This window comes from Homo sapiens, chromosome 16 (assembly GCF_000001405.40).
Source record: "Homo sapiens chromosome 16, GRCh38.p14 Primary Assembly".
Taxonomy (NCBI): Eukaryota; Metazoa; Chordata; class Mammalia; order Primates; family Hominidae; genus Homo; species Homo sapiens.
The window spans coordinates 50,087,223-50,109,129 of NC_000016.10; the positions used below are offsets into that span (position 1 = coordinate 50,087,223).

A 21,907-nucleotide genomic window follows, 5' to 3' on the forward strand; every position below is an offset into this window, starting at 1 on the left:
TACACCTTGCCATCATCTAACATGTATCTTTCTTCAAACACCTTTGCATGGTAGGAGCTGATTCTCTTAAGTTACAGGTCTCTGATACGGATTAATTTCATATGCACACAAAGATCTATAGCGATACAAGAGTTAAATTAAATATTCTTTTAAATGACCTAGCTGTAGGTTTCACTTGGAGGGAAAAACAAAAAAAACAAAAACTAGCTGTACAAAGTCCAATGCATGTTCTTCTAACAGATTTTCATAGTTCCTCATAGTAAAATCTTACTTAATTTGACCACATTAAACTATAGGAGCTCAAACCAAACAAAAACAAGAGAGACTGAGAGAGAAGAACAAGTGGTGTTTTCTATACTGAAGGAAAACTCTCCACATTACTCCACCCAGTATCCATTGCTGGAGCGAGGGTAGCCTGGGAGGTGGGAATCTGCCCCTCTCTCTCAGCTGCTGAGGTTCCAGGTGTCTTTCAGGATTTTTTGAGGGTAAACGTGAAGATATTTGCTTTCTACACTGGCAAATAAGATAATTCCATTGTGTTATATTCAGTGTATTCTTCATATATTTTATCCTCCTTTTCAGACACAACATTAAGTCCAAGAATTGAACTCTTAAAAGATCAGGCCAGGCGCGGTGGCTCACACCTGTAATCCCAGCACTTTGGGAGGCCGAGGCGGGTGGATCACCTGAGGTTGGGAGTTCGAGACCAGCCTGGCCAACATAGCGAAACCCTGTCTCTACTAAAAATACAAAAATTAGCCAGGCGTGGTGGCAGGCACCTGTAATCCCAGCTACTCGGGAGGCTGAGGCAGGAGAATCGCTTGAACCCGGGAGGCGGAGGTTGTGGTGAGCCAAGATCGCGCCATTGCACTCCAGCCTGGGCAACAAGAGTGAAACTCCGTTTCAAAAAAAATCAAAAGAGAGTCACTTTTAACTAAATACAAGTTTTTGTGTCAACATCCATTCAAGTGTTGGTCCCCAGTTCTTTAGACATCTGTTTTACATTCCGTCAAGTTCCTAAGAGGTGCTGTGTGTTTAATGGTACATGTTTTTTAAGTTCTAAATTAATCTTTAAAAATTAAGTAATTAAATATTCAGAAACCCATATGTGGTTACTGAGCTGTCTCTGCCACCCTTTCAACATTGATCAGTTAACAGGTGTACCTTTCAAGTACTCCCTGGCTGTGCATTCATTGGCTGGAATGATCCCATGAAAGCTGTGCCCAGCCATGCCCAGGACAGGATATAGTCAGGATATGGGCAGTGCTAGTCCCATTCCCATTCCAGGGCAGGACGGGACAAGCACTGGAGTACAGAGGCAGCTCGTCAGTGTGAGCAGACCAGATGATGGCTGTAGCTTTGTATTTGTCTCCTAGCCTCCTAAACCTGGAAGAGATCTGGATGGTAAACGGGGAGGGGACTTTCCCCAACTTTTGCAAGCATTCTGGCTCCCATCAGCCCAGCAAGATGTCCTGTGGGGTGGGAGTGAGAGGGCTGCTGTTGCTCATGCCCACCCCCACCCATTCCCCTGAGTAGAGGCAGGGGGCAGAGCCAGGCAGGGAGTCCACAGCCAGGGTCCCAGGTGAGCAGGACCCCAAGTCTCTCACTGCTTCCAAGCCCTACCTAAGCTCTAGGTAACCCTGGCAGCCCTGGTTCCACAAGCTGCCATCTCTCAGCTCTGGGCCATTTCTCACTGAGAGTCTGGTCCAGGTACCCCCGGTCCCATCCCCAGGCAGCACACAGAGGTTATTTCACTTGAAACAAACTCCCTGTGTGCCTGTGCTATAGTGAAAGCACTCAGATATGTTTCTCTTGGTTCTGCTGGTTATTTGTGGTCACTGAGGCCAGCACATTTATTAACTGCAAAGATCACAGGAAAACTGCCCCAAGCTGAGTCCTGGAGAAATAATGGAAAGTTTCTGAATTGTGGGAAAATATAACTAAGCACTTTGATTTTAAATAAATTCCCATTTCATGTCTATTCTTGACATCATCTTTTTTTTTTTAAGGTTCAGGAATGTGACATGCTGCTAGGTTAAGAATGCTTTTGTGTATCCTGAGGGTCTTGATGATATTTATGTAGAAATCGCCTACCACACGTTACTGTCACAACAGTAATTTTGAAAATGTATTCACCTAATGACATGTGCTCAGTTACTTCCAGGGATTGGTAGTCTGAATTGGCCTTGCCTATGTAATGGGTTTGGATGGTTACTGCTGGGGGAAGAGGGCCATTACAATACCTCTGGGCTGTCCAGCTTGCTTGGGGCCCATACTCGTATCCCATCTGTGGCCTTCGTATCACCTAATATTGGCATTCGGAGAAATGGAGAATCAAAATGACTTGAAAAGTAGTGTCATTGTTATTTATTTTGGAGTAACAGAATGTTTTCTTATCAGAATGAATTTGATAAAGGATAATCGCTTATATTTGGAGATGATATTCTTTTTTTTTCTTTTATTTGAGATGGAGTCTTACTCTGTTGCCCAGGCTGGAGTACAGTAGCACGATCTTGGCTCACTGCAATTTCTGCCCCCCAAGTTCAAGCAATTCTCCTGTCTCAGCCTCCCAAGTAGCTGGGATTACAGGTGCCTGCCAATGCGCCCAGCTAATTTTTGTATTTTTATAGAGACGGGTTTCACCATGTTGGTCAGGCTGGTCTTGAACTCCTGACCTTGTGATCCACCCGCCTCGACCTCCCAAAGTGCTGGGATTACAGGCATGAGCCACCGTGCCCGTCCTAGAGATGATATTCTAATACAGTCCTTCTAAGCATTTGGGATTTATTAATAATGTAATCCTATGGGTTCTATATGGATAGTGGGAATTGTTACAAGATAGTTTAGTGGGGGCTGGCCACGGTGGCTCACACCTGAAGTCCCAGCACTTTGGGAGCTGAATTGGGAGGATCACATGAGCCCAAGAGTTTAAGACCAGCCTGGGCAACATAGTGATACCCTGTCTCCTCCAAAAAGGTTTTTTAATTAGCCAGGAGTGGTATCTTGCTTGCGCCTGTGGTCCCAAGGAAGCTGAAGTGGGAGGATTGCTTGAGCCCAGGAGGTCAAGGCTGCAATGAGCTATGATTGTGCTACTGTACTCCAGCCTGGGCAACAGAGTGAGACTCTTATCTCAATTAAAAAAAAAAGAGAATTTAGTGCGGAGAATGGGGCTAAAGATCTCTGCTGTTTTGTGTTATGGTTGAGAGTTAAAGGTATGATTGTTCTACTGCTCTAACTTGTTTTAATTTTAATGCTAAATACAGTTCTGAATACAGTAGTTATAACATTTGTGATACTCTGTACATACCTACATTTATGTTTGTGTCTGATATCAGAGATAAAAGGAGCACATTTTAGTACAATCTGGTCCTTACATTCAAAAGCACTAATTTCTTTGTCTCCTTCATTAAAAGCTATTGGTTTTCAAAACATCAATGCGTTTTTTAGCAATGTTGTATTTCATATTGGGTCAGTCTGTCATTCGGCTCTATTACATGAGTTCCGAAATCATTTAGGATTCTCTGTTTTTCCAGATTTTGAGAATCAGAACGTTCTTTTTTAGTTATAATTAAAATGGTAGTATCCCATTGTGGGATATATTTTCCATTCCATATCGGAATATTGAAAATTCAGGCTGGGTGGCTGGGCGCGGTGGCTCACACCTGTAATCCCAGCACTTTGATAGGCCAAGGCAGTTGGATCACCTGAGGTCAGGAGTTTGAGACCAGCCTGACCAATATGGTGAAATCCCGTCTCCACTAAAAATACGAAAATTAGCTTGGCATGGTGGTGTGTGCCTGTAGTCCAGCTACTTGGGAGGCTGAGACAGGAGAACTCCTTGAACCTGGGCGGTGAAGATTGCAGTGAGCCAAGATTGCACCACTGCACTCCAGCCTGGGTGACAGAGCAAGACTCTGTCTCAAAAAAGAAATTAATTAATTAAAAATAAGAAAAAAAATTCAGGCTGGGAGTGGTGGTTCACACCTGTAATCCCAGCACTTTGGGAGGCCAAGGTGGGCAGATCACCTGAGGTCAGGAGTTCAAGACCAGCCTAGCAAACATGGTGAAACCCCATATCTACTAAAAATACAAAAATTAGCCGGGCGTAATGGTGCATGCCTGTAATCCCAGCTACTTGGGAGGCTGAGGCAGGAGAATCACTTGAACCCGGGAGGCAGAGGTTGCAGTGAGCCCAGATCTTGCCACTGCACTCCAGCCTGAGCGACAGAGTGATACTCCGTCTAAAAAACATAATAATAATAAAAAAATTTTAAATCAGTCTGAAAAATTCACCTGAGTATAATTACTTGTGGGTTGATGATGTACCTACATTTAGACATGCTACAAATTCTTAAATATTGTTCAAAGTTGGCTGGGCACGGTGGCTCACGCCTGTAATCCCAGCATTCTGGGGGGCCGAGGCGGGCAGATCATGAGGTCAGGAGATTGAGACCCTGGCTAACATGGTGAAACCCCGTCTCTACTAAAAATGCAAAAAAAAATTAGCCAAGTGTGGTGGCGGGCACCTGTAGTCCCAGCTACTCGGGAGGCTGAGGCAGGAGAATGGCATGAACCTGGGAGGCGGAGCTTGCAGTGAGCCAAGATCGCACCACTGCACTCCAGCCTGGGCAACAGAGCGAGACTCTGTCTCAAAAAAAAAAAAAAAAAAATATCGTTCAAAGTTGTTGAGAGTAAAGACATTGAATCACCTCTTTGTGTGCAATTCATAAATCTATAAATTCATAATTTTATAGGGCTATACCTAGAGCTTTAATCATATATACACTTTGCAGTCAATATGGTAACTTTTTGAAGTTTAATAGCAACAAATTGGCTGGACGGAGTGGTGCACACCTGTAATCCCAGCACTTTGGGATGCTGAGGCGGGTGGATTGCTTGAGCTCAAGAGTTTGAGACCAGCCTGTACATATGATGAGACCCTGTCTCTACAAATACAAGAAAAATTAGCTGGACGTGGTGGCACGTGCCTGTGGTCCCAGCTACTCGGGAGGCTGAGGCAGGAGCTGATTGCTTGAGCCCGGGAGGTCCAGGCTATTAACAACTTCACTCTGATTTTTGAGTGCCTGTTAGGTACCACGTTTTATGAGACAGCCCTTGTTACTTCATTGTCCTGCTGAGGAAGCTGAGATTTAGGAACCTTAGCTGAGAGGTTAAGGAACCTCTTCCAGGTCATTCTTTTTTTTTTCTTTTTTCTTTTTTTTTTTTTTTTCCTGAGACGAGTCTGGCTCTGTCGCCCAGGCTGGAGTGCAGTGGCGCGATCTCGGCTCACTGCAAGCTCCGCCTCCCGGGTTCATGCCATTCTCCTGCCTCAGCCTCCTTAGTAGCTGGGACTACAGGCGCCCGCCACCACGCCTGGCTAATTTTTTTTTTTGCATTTTTAGTAGAGACGGGGTTTCACCGTGTTAGCCAGGGATGGTCTTGATCTCCTGACCTCATGATCGGCCCACCTTGGCCTCCCAAAGTGCTGGGATTACAGGCGTGAGCCACCGCGCCCGGCCCAAGGTCATTCTTTTAGCTTGTATTTATTGAATGCTTTATGTCATACACTGTTCTAGATGGTAGGGATGCAGGCGTGAACAAGATAGGCCAGGTCAATATGTTCGTGGAGTTTGCATTCTAGTATAAATAAATGTTTTATGTGATATTAGCTATGAAGAAAAAAGTAAAAGCAGAATGATATGAGGCGTTACACTAGGCCAGTTAGTGTGGAAAGGCCTCTGTGAGGAGGTAACATTTGAGCCAAGACTAAAATGAAGGCAGGAGGAGTCACATAATTATGTCAAAGGCAGCTCTCTATCCTAGGGCTGAGTGTGTAAAGCTCTCCTATTATTCTGTGATCATTACGGGAAATCCCCTATTTTGGTACATAATACATATCTGAAAATGAAAGAGCCAAAAAATACAATCAGCCGGGATTAGAATTTGAACAGAAGCTGCCTCTCTTCTACCCGGGTAACCTAAAAGTGGGGGATCGGAATGGTATAAGTCCCAGGAACTGTGGGGCAGGAAGTGAGTGTATCTATTGCTACGTAACAAGTTATTCCAAAACTCTGTGACTTAACAACAACAACAATCATTTATTATTTCTCGAAGTTTCCTTTGGTCAAGAATTTAGACAGGGCACAGTGGAGATGGCTTTTTCCTATTCCACAATGTCTAGGCCAGTGGTTCTCAACCATGGCCACTTATCCCCTCCCACCTCCCACCTGGGGACATTTGGCAACGTCTGGAGGTATTTTTGGTTTTACAACTTGGAAATTGCAACTGGTGTCTAGAGGGTTGAGGCCAGGAATGTTCCTTCACATCCTACGGTGCCCAGGAGACCCCTGCGCACACATAAAATGAAGAATTATCTGGTCCAAAATGTCAGTAGTGCAGAGGCTGAGAAATACTAGTCTAGGGCCTCTGCTGGAAGACTCGCAGAGTATGGGCTGGAATCATCCGAAGTCTTGTTCACTCACGTGTCTGGCAGTTGGTGCAGGGGTTGTCAGGAAGAACACCCACAGTGACCTCTTCATGTGACGCAGGCTTCCTCATAACAGGATGGCTGGGTTCCCAGGGCGGAAGTCGAGAGAAAAAAGAGCATGCACACATGCGTCAGGGCTGGAAGTCATACTGCCTTTTGTGACCTAGCCCGTCACTTTGTATTCTGTTGGTTGAAGAAGTCACAAAGTCCCACCCTGATTTAAGGAAAGGAGAAGTAGATTTCACATCTTTATGGGAAGTGGCAAGGTTCTTGAAGATCACACAGGACTTGAAATATTGCCATGGCCATTTTTAGAAAATACAGTCTACCACACCAAGCAAATCTCTTCCCATCAAAGAGGTTAAGGAGCCAACTCCCCTGGGTGACCCTCACTGTCCCTTGCACGTGCCTGTGCCAGCATAATGGCTTACTGCTGGTGTTCTGTTTGTCCCGTGTGGGAAGAAGGGACAATAAGAAAAGTGTGCGAATAAGGAGTAGGAGTGGGAAGGGGATGCTGGGTCAGTTAAAGTGATGGTGCCATCATGTCCTGGCTCTGCACAAGCAACAGTGTGTGGCTAAGCAGTGGGCTTGGGTTGGCAAGGAAGCATTCTGACTCCACCAAAGGTAGTTCTACCCAGCACCCTGATGGAGATCTATGAATGACAGAATTCAGTCTGCAAAAGCTAGCTTAGGTTTATTATGTGCTGAAGTGTGAGTCAAATGAAAACCCAGTGTCTGGAAGTCAAGGACTGTCTGTAGAACACCTCCTTGCTGTGATTATTTTAACCACGATCATCTTTCAGACTTAGGTATAGAGTGTACAGGGGGCTGTTAACTAAATATTTTGGCTTAAATATCGAGGGTTTTTTTTTGTTTGTTTGTTTTATTAAGAATAGCATTTATTAACATTTAGCATGCTTTGTTTTGTTTGTTGCTTCTACAAAATAGCCTATCTTGGAGAAATGCAAATTTTATATTTCATTTTTGTGTTTTAGATTTTGCTAAACATGTTGACTTTCTAGAAGCCATAAGTAGTGCTTTGAGGGCCCTTTTGCAAACAATGGCCTCCAAGAACATTTCCCAGGTAAGAGTTTTAAAATTTTTTGTATGAAACTTGTAAAGATTGTGTATTATGGAGGCAAAATTCATTACTTCACTATTTTAAAAAATACATATTTCTGTTACAAGAATAATATGTGATCTTTGTAAAAAATAAAACAAAAGTGATTAAAATAAAAAGTAATATCTTTCTGCTCCCTACCATCAGCAACACACAGGTGCTTTTAATTTAATTTTTTAAATTTTTTAATATATAGGCTTACTAGCAAAACAAGTGCTTTTTAATCAATACAACTTAATTGATAGATATGTTGTAAATAATTTCTCTATCATTGGTCTTTTTTTTAAATCTTTTTTTTTTTTGAGACAGAGTCTTCCTCTGTCGCCCAGGCTGGAGTGCAGTGGCATGATCTCAGCTCACTGCAACCTCTGCCTCCTGGGTTCAAGTGATTCTCGTGCCTCAGCCACCCAAGTAAATGGGATTACAGGCATGCGTCACCACAAAATTTTTGTATTTTTAGTAGAGACGGGGTTTTGCCGTGTGGCCAGGCTGGTCTTAAATGCCTGACCTCAAGTGATCCACCCACCTTGGCCTCCTAAAGTGCTGGGATGACAGGCGTGAACCACCGTACCCAGCTTTTTTTTTTTTTTTTTTTTTAACATTTCATTACAGACTTTGCAAGCATGCCCTCCTGACCCTTCACAGCAATCCATGTGCACTTCATCTCCCATAGGTGCCTTACCACTTTTGCTACTTTTTACTAAGGAGACTTTTAAACATTCCTAAAAGCAGAGATAATAATGTTGCTTTGTTTTTTGAGACGGGGTCTTACTGTGTTGCCCAGGCTAGTCTCCTGGATTCAATCCTCCCACCTCAGCCTCCCAAGTAGCTGGGATTACAGGTGTGCGCTACCATGTCCAAAGCAGAGATAACCCTATGAGCCTGCATGCACCGTCGCCAAGCCTCAGCAGGTTATTAGCGTCCTGTCATTCTTGTGACATGGTTTCATTCATCTCACTGGGTCCTTATTTTTGTTTCCTGGAGTATTTTAAAGCAAATCATATTAGACCCATCAATATTTTATTATGTAGTTCAGTATGCATGTCTGACAGAAAAATAAATTTTTAAAAATCTTAACCCCAGTACCATTACCCCAAGGCTCCAAATTAACGGATATTTCTTATTATCCTTTGGTTTGCACTCTGAGTTCAGTTTTCCCAGCTGCAGTCTAAGTTCAGTTTTCCCAGATTGCCTTAAAAATGTATTTTAACATGGCCAGGCACGGTGGCTCACACCTGTAATCCCAGCACTTTGGGAGGCTGAGGCGGGCAGATCACCTGAGGTCAGGAAGTCAAGACCAGCCTGGCCAACATGGTGAAACCCCGTCTCTACTAAAAATACAAAAGTTAGCTGGGCATGGTGGCGCACTCCTATAATCCCAGCTACTTGGGAGGCTGTGGCAGGAGAATCACTTGAACCTGGGAGGCGGAAGTTGCAGTGAGCCAAGATCATGCCACTGCACTCCAGCCTAGGCGATAGAGCAAGACTCCGTCTCAAAAAAAAAAAAAAAAAAAAACAGAAAAAGAAAAAAACGTCTTTTAACAGTTGGCTTGTTCAAATCAGGATCTAAGCAAGGTTCATGTGTTGCTTTTGGTTGATATTTTGGTCTCTTATTATCTCTAAAAAAAATTTTACTGAGATTTGATTCACATACCATGCAGTTTATCCATTTAAAGTATACAGTTCAGGCCAGCTGCAGTGGCTCACGCCTGTAATCCCAGCACTTTGGGAGGCCAAGGCCAGTGGACCACGTAAGGTCTGGAGTTCAAGATCAGCCTGGCCAACGTGGCGAAACCCTATCTCTACAAAAAATACAAAAATCAGCCGGGCATGGTGGCAGGCACCTGTAATCCCAGCTACTTGGAAGGCTGAGGCAGGGAGAATTGCTTGAACTGGGAGGTGGAGGTTGCAGTGAGCTGAGATTGCACCACTGCACTCCAGCCTGGGCGACAGAGGGAGACTCTGTCTCAAAAATAAGTAACTAAAGTGTACAATTCAGTGGTTTTAGTATATTCTCATATTCTTAAATCTCTTAGTCTATAGCATTTCCCTCACTCCCCTCCTTTCCCCATACACTTACCCATTGAAGAAACTCTCATTTTGTTCCGTAGCATTTTCTGCACTGGCAGATTTGGCCAACTCATCATGATGGCATCGTTCAGCATTCCTCTGTCCCCCATGTTTCCTGTGAGCCGGGAGCTAGGTCTAGAGCCTTAATTAGATCCAGGTCCAGATTATTTATTTATTTATTTTTTGTATTTATAATAAATAATCTAGACAGGTCCAGATTTTTTGGCAAGAATAATTTATAGTGCTTTATATATTTCCTATATTTATATCACAAATCATATGATATTATAAAATAGTGATGCTGAGATTAATTAGTGGGTTCACATAATGGTTTTATAACCAGTGATTGTGGTTGCCTGGCTCCATTATGTCATTAGTGGGTTGCAGAATAGAGATACCCTAATTTTGTCTTTTCTTTTTTTTTTTTTTACATTTATTAGCTATGATTTTTTTTTTTTTCAGAATAGCTATCCTAGCAATCTCTATAAGTGACCAGTGATTTTTTTTTTTTTAGTATCATTTTGAACTCAGGGTTTTTTATATATTTGTATTTCATTCCATTATAGTCATGCTTTTTGCTGCCAAATTCATCCCATCTTTGGATAGTAGGAGTCCCTTCAAATTGGCTCCTGTGCCTCTTTTACAAGAATTTTAGGTTTTTGATCACTTTTGCTTCCAGGCATAGGATGTCCCAGGTTCAATTTGTAATTTTCTTGCTTAAAACCTGGAATCTGGCCAGGCACAGTGGCTCATGCCTGTAATCCCAACACTTTAGGAGGCTGAGGTGGGCGGATCACTTGAGGTCAGGAGTTTGAGACCAGCCTGACCCACATGGCGAAACTCCGTCTCTACTGAAAATTCAAAAATTAGCTGGGTGTGGTGGCACGCGCCTGTAATCCCAGCTACTTGGGAGGCTGAGGCAGGAGAATCGCTTGAAGCCAGGAGGTGGAGGTTGCAGTGAGCCAAGATTGCACTGCACTCCAGCCTGGGTGACAAGAGTGTGACAAGAGTGAAACTCCGTCTCAAAAAAAAAAAAAAAAAACCCTGGAATTAGTTACTTCTCCAAGAAGCTCTGATTTCTTTAGTGGGGAAAGTGAATTGTGGAGTGCTTATTGCTATCATGTTGCCATTGTTTCTAGGTCTTTTTAGTGGAAATAGCTAGGAAATAGGCATTTTTTTAGGAGACAAAAATAGTAAGTTTATCCTGATAATTTCCAGTTTAAATAAAAAATGGTACAATATTTTTACTTAATTTTCGATTTTGTATTTCTATCTTTTTGTATCCCCCAAAAAGATACATTTGTACCCAAAAAGGTACATTGTACCCAAAAAGATACATTAGTGACATTAAAATTCTTATTTGCAGCTGGTCTGATGGTAGTGGGTTATCAGGACTTATTAACATTAGTGTCACTGAAGTTGGTATACAACCCCCCACGCTAAGTTTGACTGGCTTTAAAAATAATAATAAATAGGTCGGGCACGGTGGCTCACGCCTGTAATCCCAGCAGTTTTGGAGGCCGAGGTGGGCGGATCACAAGGTCAGGAGATCAAGACCATCCTGGCTAACACAGTGAAACCCCGTCTCTATTAAAAAATACAAAAAATTAGCCGGGTGTGGTGGCGGGTGCCTGTAGTTCTGGCTACTCAGGAGACTGAGGCAGAAGAATGGTGTGAACCCAGGAGGCGGAGCTTGCAGTGAGCCAAGATCGGGCCACTGTAATCCAGCCTGGGCGACAGAGCGATACTCCGTTTCAAAAATAATAATAATAATAAATAATTTAAAAATTAAAATTAGAGAAAAGAAAGAAAAATATTTTTCAAAAATTTTATTATTTGCTTTCTCCTACAGAATGTACTTTGTAGTAGTGACATTAAAAGACATTAAAATTATTTGCTATACAGTGATATTAAAATTGTTTGCTGTAGTAACATTAAAATTGTAGTGACATTAAAACTATTATTTGCTTTATCCTACGGAATGTACTTAATAGTATCAAAATAACAATGCTCTTGTTATTGCCAATAACACTATTTCTTTTTGCTTCTTTATATAATTTTTTTCTTAATGCTTTTAAAATTTTTTTATACTTTATTTTTATTTTTTAGTTTTTTAATAGAGATGAGGTCTTGCTATGTTGCCCAGCCTGGTCTTAAACTCCTGCTCTCGAGTGATCCTCTTGCCTCAGCTTTCCAAAGCTAAGAATTTTTTTGAAGAGCATAATTTGACCCTCAGTTTCTAAGAAGTAGGAATGGTAATGGGATGCATAGCCTGCCATGTGGCTGTTGGATGGACCAGAAAACCTTATACTCTAGGGCCTATAGGAATATCAAGTATTTTTATTGATTTCCCCTGGTATGTAAGCAGCAGCTTATGGGATCAGTGTGATGGTTAAGGAAAATTACTCAAAGCCCATGTTCAGGGCCAGGTGCAGTGGCTCATACTAATAATCCTAACACTTTGGGAGCCTGAGGCGGGAGGATTGCTTGAGCCCAAGAGTTCAAGAACAGCCTGGGCAACTTTGTGAGACTTCATGTCTACAAAAAATAAAAATACATTAGTCTAGTGTAGGGGCTCACACGAGTGATAAGTAGTGAAGCTAGGATTTGAACCCAGGGTTCAATCTCCAGATTCCAAGCCTTTGTGTCTGGCTCCAGATTCCAAGCCTTTCATCACTACACTGTGCTGCTGCTTATAGGAGATAGTCTCACTCTGTTGCCCAGGCTAGAGTTCAGTGGCACAATCTCAGCTCACTGCAACCTCTGTCTCCCAGGTTCAAGCGTTTCTTGTGCCTCAGCCTCCTGAGTAGCTGAGATTGCAGGCGTGAGCCACCGCGCCCAGCCTTAAACTGAAAATTATCCACTACATGGTAGAAGCACCATATAATGTAATGGTTTCTACAGTCTTTAATTATGATAATACAGATATCTCAAAGTAAGTTCTTACCTTGTATAGACTCAGCCAATTTTTTTAAAACCACACAATCCTATTTATACTTTCAAAGCCTTTTTCTTACCATTAATATTAAAAAGGAATTGGACTCTCTTTAGTGTGTGTACATCTGGAATGAAAGTCTTCATCAAATTAAATGGAGCCCCTTTGATATTAGATAACAGTGCCGACATGAGCAGGGTTCACCTTAGTTCAGAATTACCAGCTCTGTCTGGGAGAACTGGAATACATATTAATAGTAACTTACCTGCCAGGAGTTTATGTCACTCTTAAAATCCTGTAGCCTATAGAGGAGATTCCTGTCAGTCCGGTTTTCACATGCTGATAGAATTAATTGAGTTTAACATTATAAATACTGTCCTCTTCTCTTTTAACAGTGCATGACTCCTGATCAGCTGATGACATTATGCAAAGCAGGCATTCATAGTAGTAATGTCGGGGTTAGAGTGAATGTCGTTAGCATTTTAGGAATCACTGGCAGCGTCCTTGCCAAAGAAGATGGTACACTTGAAACTCTTAAGGTAAAACAATTTGCTTCTGACCTAACATGTTAAATAATTAGAAATGGGAGAAGAACTGTTGGTGTAGGATTTCTTAAAACTTGTGTGGACTTGAAGAGAAGAAGTCATATCAAGTTGCTTTATTGAGTCATATTATTAGAATATACCCTTTGGCTTGATCTAACTATGTGTATTAATTAGGTAAGTATTTGAAAAGTTGAGCCACATTTTACAATTTAACGTTATTCCAGAGGTACTTTTTTAAAAAAATAAATCTGTCTTTAGTGAAAGGGCAAATTCAGAATTTTTAAAGATGCCTTCTGCCTTTGCTGTTGCATCCAATGTATGCATGTTACATTCTCCTGCTGATGAATGAACAATCCACACCATTTTCCTTGCACACCAGGCAACATGCATTCTGAAAAATACAACACAGTTAATTAATTCTAATACCACTCCATAAATTTTAAGCAGCAACCCTGGTAGTGCCAATATACTAGCAATTCCCTCAGCATATTTGCTCTTACCACTTAGCACAGTTGCTCACAAACTGCACTGTTAGGAGTACAGCGTCACTAGTAATTAAAAGGACAGTCATAGTAACATTACACTTTGGTGTGCTAATAATTGCTGAAGTGTGAGACTAGTGGATAATAAACTCATTATTATAAAGTACCTCTTAACCTGCTAAGAACTTTACAATGATGACTGATGTTTTTAAGAATCTATTTTTGAAAAATGATACTTGCAAAGCTTTTTTTTTTTTCTTTTTTTTTCTGAGATGGAGTCTCAGTCACCCAGGCTGGAGTACAGTAGTGCAGTAGTGTGATCTCGGCTCACTGCAACCTCCGCCTCTGGGTTCAAGCAATTCTTCTGCCTCAGCCTCCCGAGTAGCTGGGATTACAGGTGCCCACTACCACACCTGGCTAATTTTTGTATTTTTAATAGAGATGGGGTTTCGCCATGTTGGCCAAGCTGGTCTTGAACTCCTGGGCTCAAGCGATCTACCTACTTCAGCATCCCAGAGTGCTGGGATTACAGGCATGAGCCACTGCACCCGGCAACAGTTATTTCTTAGTGTGTCTAATTCCTGGTCCATATTCATAATTTTACAGTTGCCTCAAAATTATCTGTTTACAGAGAGCTTGTTTACACTGCTGAAGTCCACATGTTATGTTTCCTGTGGGGTCTTCTCTTTCTCTCTTAATCTTGAACAGTTCCTCCCCGGCACCACGTGGTTATTCTCACCTCCTGGATCAGTTGTCCAATATAGTGTCCAAAACCTTCTGGATTTGTCTGATTGCTACCTTGTGGTGGTAAATTTGTTTTTTTATCCTTGTATTTCCTACAAACTGACAGTTAGATCTACAGACTAGATTCGATTCAGATCAGTCCTATTTTACGTTTTTTAGAGATGAGGTCTTGCTCCATTGCCGAGGCTGGTCTTGAACTCCTGGGCTCGAGCGACCCTCCCGCCTTAGCCTCACAAAGTTCTGAACTTACAGGTGTGAGCCACTTGCAACTGGCCTAAAGTGTTTTTCTTATGCTTTTAAAAGCAGATTTTTTGTTGTTGTCGTTGTTGTTACAGATAATATTTCTATGCATCTTGACATCATGGAGAAATCCTTTTTGAGAGAGGTAGAGGGGAAAATTTAGTGATTTCCAAAATCATACATCATTTATGGATTTTAATTCACTTTATTTATGAATATAAACTATAATATGTTTAATTTATCTTGCTTATACTTGGTATGTTTATAAGTATTTAAGTCTAATCTCTTGAAGTTTTAATTTTTCCCTGGCATTTGTATATAAAATAGTATGCATGAGTTATTGCCACATTCAAAGTTGGTACTTGTTTTGGAGACTGGTGTTAGTCATACTAAATGTGTTTTGTTGTTTCCAGAACATTGGGTGCTTTCTGCTTGAAGTTACCACCAAAGATCCTTCCCTTGTGGTAGCAGGAGAAGCTTTGGATGCCCTCTTTGATGTTTTTGCAGATGGTAAAGAAGCCGAAAGAGCCTCGATTCAAATTAAATTATTATCTGCTCTGAAAGAATTCCAGCCGGTCTTTAAAATGAAGGTTTGTAGCCATTTAACTTATAAATACATAAGTCTGAACATTCTGTGGGGACAAGGGTGTGTGTAGTTACCGCTGTGCAACTCAGAAGCATGTGCATGACGAATCCCCATATGTAGCACAGCATCCCCAGTACTTTGTAAAATGTTCGTTGACTGAGTCATAGCTCAACAGTGTGACTACTGAATCATTGAAACTGAAGCTAAAATGGTATCTGACAAGTTCTTCTTTTTTTAAGTTTAGTAATTTTGACAATGCTTCATATATGTCAGTATTATACTCTGTATTTTGCAAAGCACTTTCATACACATTTTGCATTTATTTAATTTTACTTTTTTTTGTTTTTTTGAGACAGAATCTCACTCTGTCGCCCATGCTGGAGTGCAGTGGTGCGATCTTGGCTCACTGCGACCTCCCCTTCCCCAGTTCAAGTGATTCTTGTGCCTCAGCCTCCCAAGTAGCTGGGATTACAGGTGTCCACCACATCACCCAAATAATTTTTGTATTTTTAGTAGAAACGGGGATTCGCCTTGTCATCCAGGCTGGTCTCGAACTCCCAACCTCAGGTGATCTGCCCACCTTGGCCTCCCAAAGTGCTGGGATTACAGGTGTGAGCCACTGTGCCCAGCCATATTGTTCTTAAAGGTTACAGTCCTTTAAATTTCTGGATAAAGAGCTTGCAAGATAAGAAAAAAATATCCCCTATTTCCCTGCAGCTTCAAGGAAAGCAGATATATTAATAGTTAGAGTCATCAAACTCTGCAGAAGCAGGTGCTTAAAAAAGGTTAAACAGTGAACTGGGAAAATAACCCCTGACTTCTGAAAGGTCTTTGTTCTGATTGATTTTCCTACTCAGTATGTATTGCTGTGGTAATAACATTTGTTTTTCTTTTATCAAAGGTATAAAGCTCTAATGAGATTTCTTCCTAGCCAGAGGCTAGCCTGTAGTTATTTATGTGAAACTCTTTTTTTTGCTAAATGAAGCCACAATTTGTGTTAAAGGCTATTCAGTGTATATTTAGCTGCAAAATGCATTTATGTACAATCAAGAACTTCTCTTGAGCAGTGTTTCTCAAAAGTGCCCTCCTTGTATCAGCAGCATCAGCCCTTGCCTGATAACTTATTCAAAATGCAGGTCCTCGGCCCCAACTCCTGACCTACTGAGTCATAGACTCTGTGGATGGGCCCACCAGTCTATTTTTCAACAAGCCTTCCAGATGATACCGTTGCACACTAAAACCTGAGAGCCACTGCTCTAGACTAGAGGTGAGATCAAACTCAGATTCCATACAATTGATATAAAAAACCACAGGCCAGGCGCAGTGGCTCACACCTGTAATCCCAGCACTTTGGGAGCCCCAGGTGGGAGGATCACTCGAGTCCAGGATTTCAAGACCAGCCTGGGAAACATAGCAAGAACTTGTCTCTACAAAAAAATTTTTTTAAGTTAGCCATTAAGTGGTGGCTCATGCCTGTCATCCCAGCTACTCAGGAAGCTGAGCAGGAGGATCGTGTGAGTGCAGGAGTTGGAGGCTACAGTGAGCTCAGTGGATTGCAGCACTGCACTCCAGCCTAGGCGATGAAGCAAGACCCATCTCTATTAAAAACAAAAAACAAGCAAACAAACAAAACCAGCGCTGGGCATGGTGGCTCACACCAGTAATCCCAGCACTATGGAAGGCCAAGGTGGTAGGATCACTTGAGCCCACGAGTTCAAGACCAGCCTGGGCAACATAGTGAGACCCCACCTCTACTAAAAATTTAAAAAAATTACTCCAGCATGGTAGTGCGCTGCTTGTAGTCCTAGCTACTGTGGTGGCAGAGGCAGGAGGATCACTTGCGTCCGGGAGGTCGAGGCTGCAGTGACCCATGACTGCAGCACGGCTCTCTGGCCTGGGCGACAGAGAGAGACCCTGTTCCAAAAACAAAAAAACCACAACACTACAGACTAACCTCTGGCTAACAAAGGAATTTTTTTTTTAAGGTGGGGTCTCACTGTGTTGCCCAGGCTAGTCTTGAACTCCTGGACTCAAGCAAACCTCCTGCCTCGGCCTCCCAAACTGCTGGGATTACAGGCATGAGTATGCACCCAGCCTAACAAAGGAATTTCATTAAGGCTTTATACCTTTGAGAGAAGAAAAACAATTAAGTATTATTACCATAGCAATGCATACTAACTAGGAAAATCAATCTGAACAGCAGACCTTTCAGAGGTTAGGGGTTATTTTCCCAATTCATGGTTTACATAATTCCTTTCTATAGTTTATATAACTCCTACCACCTGCCATTCAGTCACCTTTGTAACTATCATTTTTAATAATGCACATTCTCAGTTTATTCTTTACTTACCGAGTTCCATTTACCTTGGAAGTAAAAACATTTTTTCCAAATTCTTACAGCTATCTGCTTCAGCAAATGGTTAAATACACCCTAAATTAAATACTTTATTTAAATGAATTAATCATATCTACCAAGTCATATATGATTTTTTGTTTTTTGTTTGCAGATACGTAAAGAAGGGAGAGGTAACTATAGCACAGATCAGCTGTGTGTTCTTGACAATGTGAAAATGAATTTGCGAAGATTTATTGCTTATCAAGAAACTGTTGAGAAAAGACTGACTTCTTAAACAATCCAAAAAAGAAACCAGTTCTTCCCCCAAAGTATTCAATGCTTAGAATACTAAAAGGTTTTCTTTGAATGTATATGTTTCTGAAAGTCATTTTTTAATGATTACATTCTGTACATTCTGTAAAAACTTCAAAACCTGGCCAGGCATGGTGGCTCACGCCTATAATCCCAGCACCTTGGGAGACCGAGGCGGGTGGATCACTTGAGGTCAGGAGTTTGAGGCCAGCCTGGCCAACATGGTGAAACCGCATGCATAAGCATGGTGGCACATGCCTGTGATCCCAGCTACTCGGGAGGCTGAGGGAGGAGAGTCGGTTGAACCTGGGAGACAGAGGTTGCAGTGAGCTGAGATCACGCTACTGCACTCCAGCCTGGGTGACAGAGGGAGACCCTGTCTCCAAAAAAAAAAAAAAAAAAAAACTTCAAAACCTGTCAGAAACTCTGTTGCTGGTTTTTTTGTGTGTGTGTTTTGTTTGTTTGTTTTGTTTTGTTGTTTTTTTCTTTTTTGAGATGGAGTCTCACTGCTGCCCAGGCTGTATTACAGTGCTGCGATCTTGGCTTACTGCAACCTCTGCCATTCCAGGTTCAAGCGATTCTCATGCCTCAGCCTCCTGAGTAGCTGGAATTACAGGCACCCACCACCACACCTTGTTTTTGTTTTTGGTTTTTTGGTTTGTTTTTTTTTTTCAGTAGAGACGGGTTTCACCGTGTTGGCCAGGCTGGTCTCAAATTCCTGACCTCAAGTGATCCGCCTGCCCTGGCCTCCCAAAGTGCTGGGATTACAGGCATGAGCCACCGTGCCTGGCCAGAAACTCTTTTTTAAGTGATGAGATCTGTGTGGCATTTCTAGCGCTCTCTAAATTATGTCTCTGGCATATTTTAATCACTGGAAACTCAAAGAGTGGAAGAGTGGAAGTGCGAAGGAATCTCAGGTAGCTCTTAACTAATTCGCCAGCAGTGAAGAAACTTCAACCAATCATGTTTTCCTTGAATTTTGCAAAGAAAGAAAATCCAAAGCATTGCTTGGATGTTCTTTTAAGGCATTTTATATCAGTTGAACCTTAAACTGAAATATGAAGACAAGCTTTATAAACTAGTTTTTTGATATGAAGTATATCAATTATGTTTGCCTTTTGTGAAGAAGTAAATGAGTTGAATTTCTATTTCACTTACTAGATTATACTAATGAGCTAATGGGGTCATTGCCATCCTCCCTACTCATGACTTTGATGAGTTATTGCTGTAACATCACTTCTTGATTTAATTTGATATGGAATCAGAATTGGGAGAAGGTATTTTTAAATAAACAACTTTTTAATGGAAAGTTTTGTGTCTTACAAAATCTTTTTTAAGATACCAAATAAAGGGTTATTAGTAGAAAATGAGATGATACTATTCGTGGATATTTGTTTGCTAATGCATATTGCTTGGAATATATGTGAGACATTAAAAAAATGACAGCACGACTTTGCAGCATTACCTCTCAGTGTCTTCGAAGTACTAGGTGACAGCTGGGGCTCGAGGGAGTTTCCCTGTGCATCATTGTCTCGGCTGGGCCTCTGAACCGGCTTCATTGTCCATCCGTTTGCCTGATGAGAAGGGAAATTTGAAAATTTCTGTACAGTTGATCTCAGTTGCCCTGACAAAAGGCCCAATCCCCAGTACAGGACTTAATTTTAATTCACTGCTTCCACAGCAGCACAAAATGAGCTAGTAGTGTTAGATTTCATCTGCACTGTGATGTATTTTACAGTTTTCACCTATATGATATAGACTGTTGGGAAACCAAGATTGTTTCCCAGCCCTAAGAGTTCCTAGCCCATGGCACCAAGTAAAATAACCCAAATTGTGTATATGGTGGGAAAACAGAAATGTATACCATATACAACACCTCGCTTTATTATGGTCCTTGCTCATGAATTTTAAGGTATATATGTATGTTTAGTGATCATTTCAGCTAAATGATTGGCCCAAGCATGTCTCCTTGGAGAACGACTCTTCCAAAAAAGAAAGTATTAGAGTTCTCTCTGCCTCAATTATTTATAAAATATAATTATTTTCAAGGAGAAAAAAGTTCCTCATTCTGTTTATTCTTCCCCACAGTTTCTGACCTATAAACAATATCCAGGATATTTAGCACAGGACCTAGTATATAGTCGACTCTTCATAAATATTTGTTGAGTAAATAAATGCTGGTGATTTTCTCGTTGTTTTGTGTGTGATTTTCTGTTTTACTAAGCAAGCTCTAAAGCAGCTGTTGAATGCAGAATCATCCTTAAACACGGTAGAAGATGAGATGACACTGAAGATGTGCCATCCTAAAAATCTCTTAGATTCTGAGGCATGGATAATTGGGTCTGGATTTCTCCCATTCAACTTTACCACTCTAACGACACAAAAGAAGGGAAAACAACTCATAAATACAGCATACAGTTTTAACTATTTACATAATAACTCAATAGAGCATGCAAGTATTATTCATGGCACAGGATAATGGAGAGCTTTTTCTGTATGACCATAGGGGAAAAAAAGTCTGCTTTAAAATATACTTATTTGAAAATCACCCAGAATAGCCCGTTAGAAATACACACTGGAGGCCAAGCATTTTGGGAGGTCGAGGTGGGCAGATCACTTAAGGTGAGGAATTTGAGACCAGCCTGGCCAACATAGTGAAATCCCATCTCTACAAAAATACAAAAACTAGCTGGGTGTGGTAGCATGCACCTGCAATCCCAGCTACTTGGGAGGCTGAGGCAGGAGAAACTCAAACCTGGGAGGTGGAGGTTGCAGTGAGCCAAGATTCCACCACTGCACTCCAGCCTGGGCAACAGAGCAAGACTCCACCTCAAAAAAAAAATAATTAGCCGGGTGTGATGGCCCATACCTGTAATCCCAGCTACTCAGGAGGCTGAGGCATGAGAATCACTTGGATCCAGGAGGTGAAGGTTGCAATAAGCCAAGATTGCACCAGTGCACTTTAGCCTGGGCAACAGAGTGAGCTCTGTTAAAAAAAAGAAAGAAATATACACTGTTCAGGCATAGTGGCTCACACCTGTAATCCCAGCACTTCGGGAGTCCAAGACGGGTGAATCACTTGAGCTCTGGAGTTTGAGACCAGCCTGGGCAACATAGGGAAGCTTTGTCTCTGCTAAACATAAAAAAAATTAGCTGAGCTTGGTGGCGCACACCTGTAGTTTCAGCTACTTGGGAGGCTAAGGCAGGAGGATGGCTTGAGCCTAGGAGATGGAGGCTGTAGTGAATCATGATTCCATCCTAAGCAACAGTGCAAAACCTTTCTTAAAAAAAAAAAAAAAGGTTGGGGGCTGGGCGCAGTAGCTCACACTTGTAATCCCAGCACTTTAGAAGGCCAAGATGGGCAGATCACTAGAGCCCAGGAGTTCGAGACCAGCCTGGCCAACATGGCAAAACCCTGTCTCTACTAAAAATACAAAAATTAGCCGGATGTGGTGGCATGCCCCTGTAGTCCCAGCTACTGGGAAGCTGAGGCAGGACAATCGCTTGAACATGGGAGGCGGAAGTTGCAGTGAACTCAGATCACGCCACTGCACTCCAGTCTGGGCGGTAAGACTCTGTCTCAAAAAAAAAGGGGAGCTGGCCGGGCGTGAAGGCTCACACCTGTAATCCCAGGACTTTGGGAGGGCGAGGTGGGTGGATCATGAGGTCAGGAGATCAAGACCATCCTGACTAACACAGTGAAACCCTGTCTCTACTAAAAATACAAAAAAAAAAAAAAAAAAAAAATTAGCCAGGTGTGGTGGCAGGCACCTGTAGTCCCAGCTACTTGGGAGGCTGAGGCAGGAGAATGGCATGAGCCTGGGGGGCGGAGCTTGCAGTGAGCCGAGACTGTGCCACTGCACTCCAGCCTGGGCGACAGAGCGAGACTCCGTCTCAAAAAAAAAAAGGTGGGGAGCTGACCTGGGTGTGTTTGGCTGTGCATATGCGTCATGCAACCTGATTTTAAACTTACTGTGTATAAAGCTAAAGCAATCAAATCATATGGTTTTAGCATAAGTAAAGACATACAGATCAATGGAACAAAATTGAG

The 21,907-nt window shown here is 42.0% G+C and overlaps 1 protein-coding gene and 1 pseudogene across 6 annotated transcripts in view; both read left to right on the top strand.

Annotated features, from left to right (window-relative positions):
* The window catches only part of HEATR3 (HEAT repeat containing 3), a 41,303-nt gene extending 21,253 nt beyond the window's left edge, over positions 1-20,050 (top strand). For all 6 annotated transcript variants that reach the window (NR_138092.2, NR_138093.2, NM_001329729.2 and 3 more), the window contains 4 exons: positions 7,483-7,571; positions 13,008-13,151; positions 15,037-15,213; positions 17,717-20,050. Coding sequence is in view for 4 of the 6 variants with exons in the window: in NM_001329729.2 (NP_001316658.1) it covers positions 7,483-7,571; positions 13,008-13,151; positions 15,037-15,213; positions 17,717-17,839 (533 nt within the window). In the remaining 2 variants the exon portion in view is untranslated. The remainder of the gene's footprint in view (positions 1-7,482; positions 7,572-13,007; positions 13,152-15,036; positions 15,214-17,716) is intronic.
* RNY4P3 (RNY4 pseudogene 3) lies at positions 11,042-11,134 on the top strand (annotated as a pseudogene).
* Positions 20,051-21,907: the final 1,857 nt, after the last annotated feature.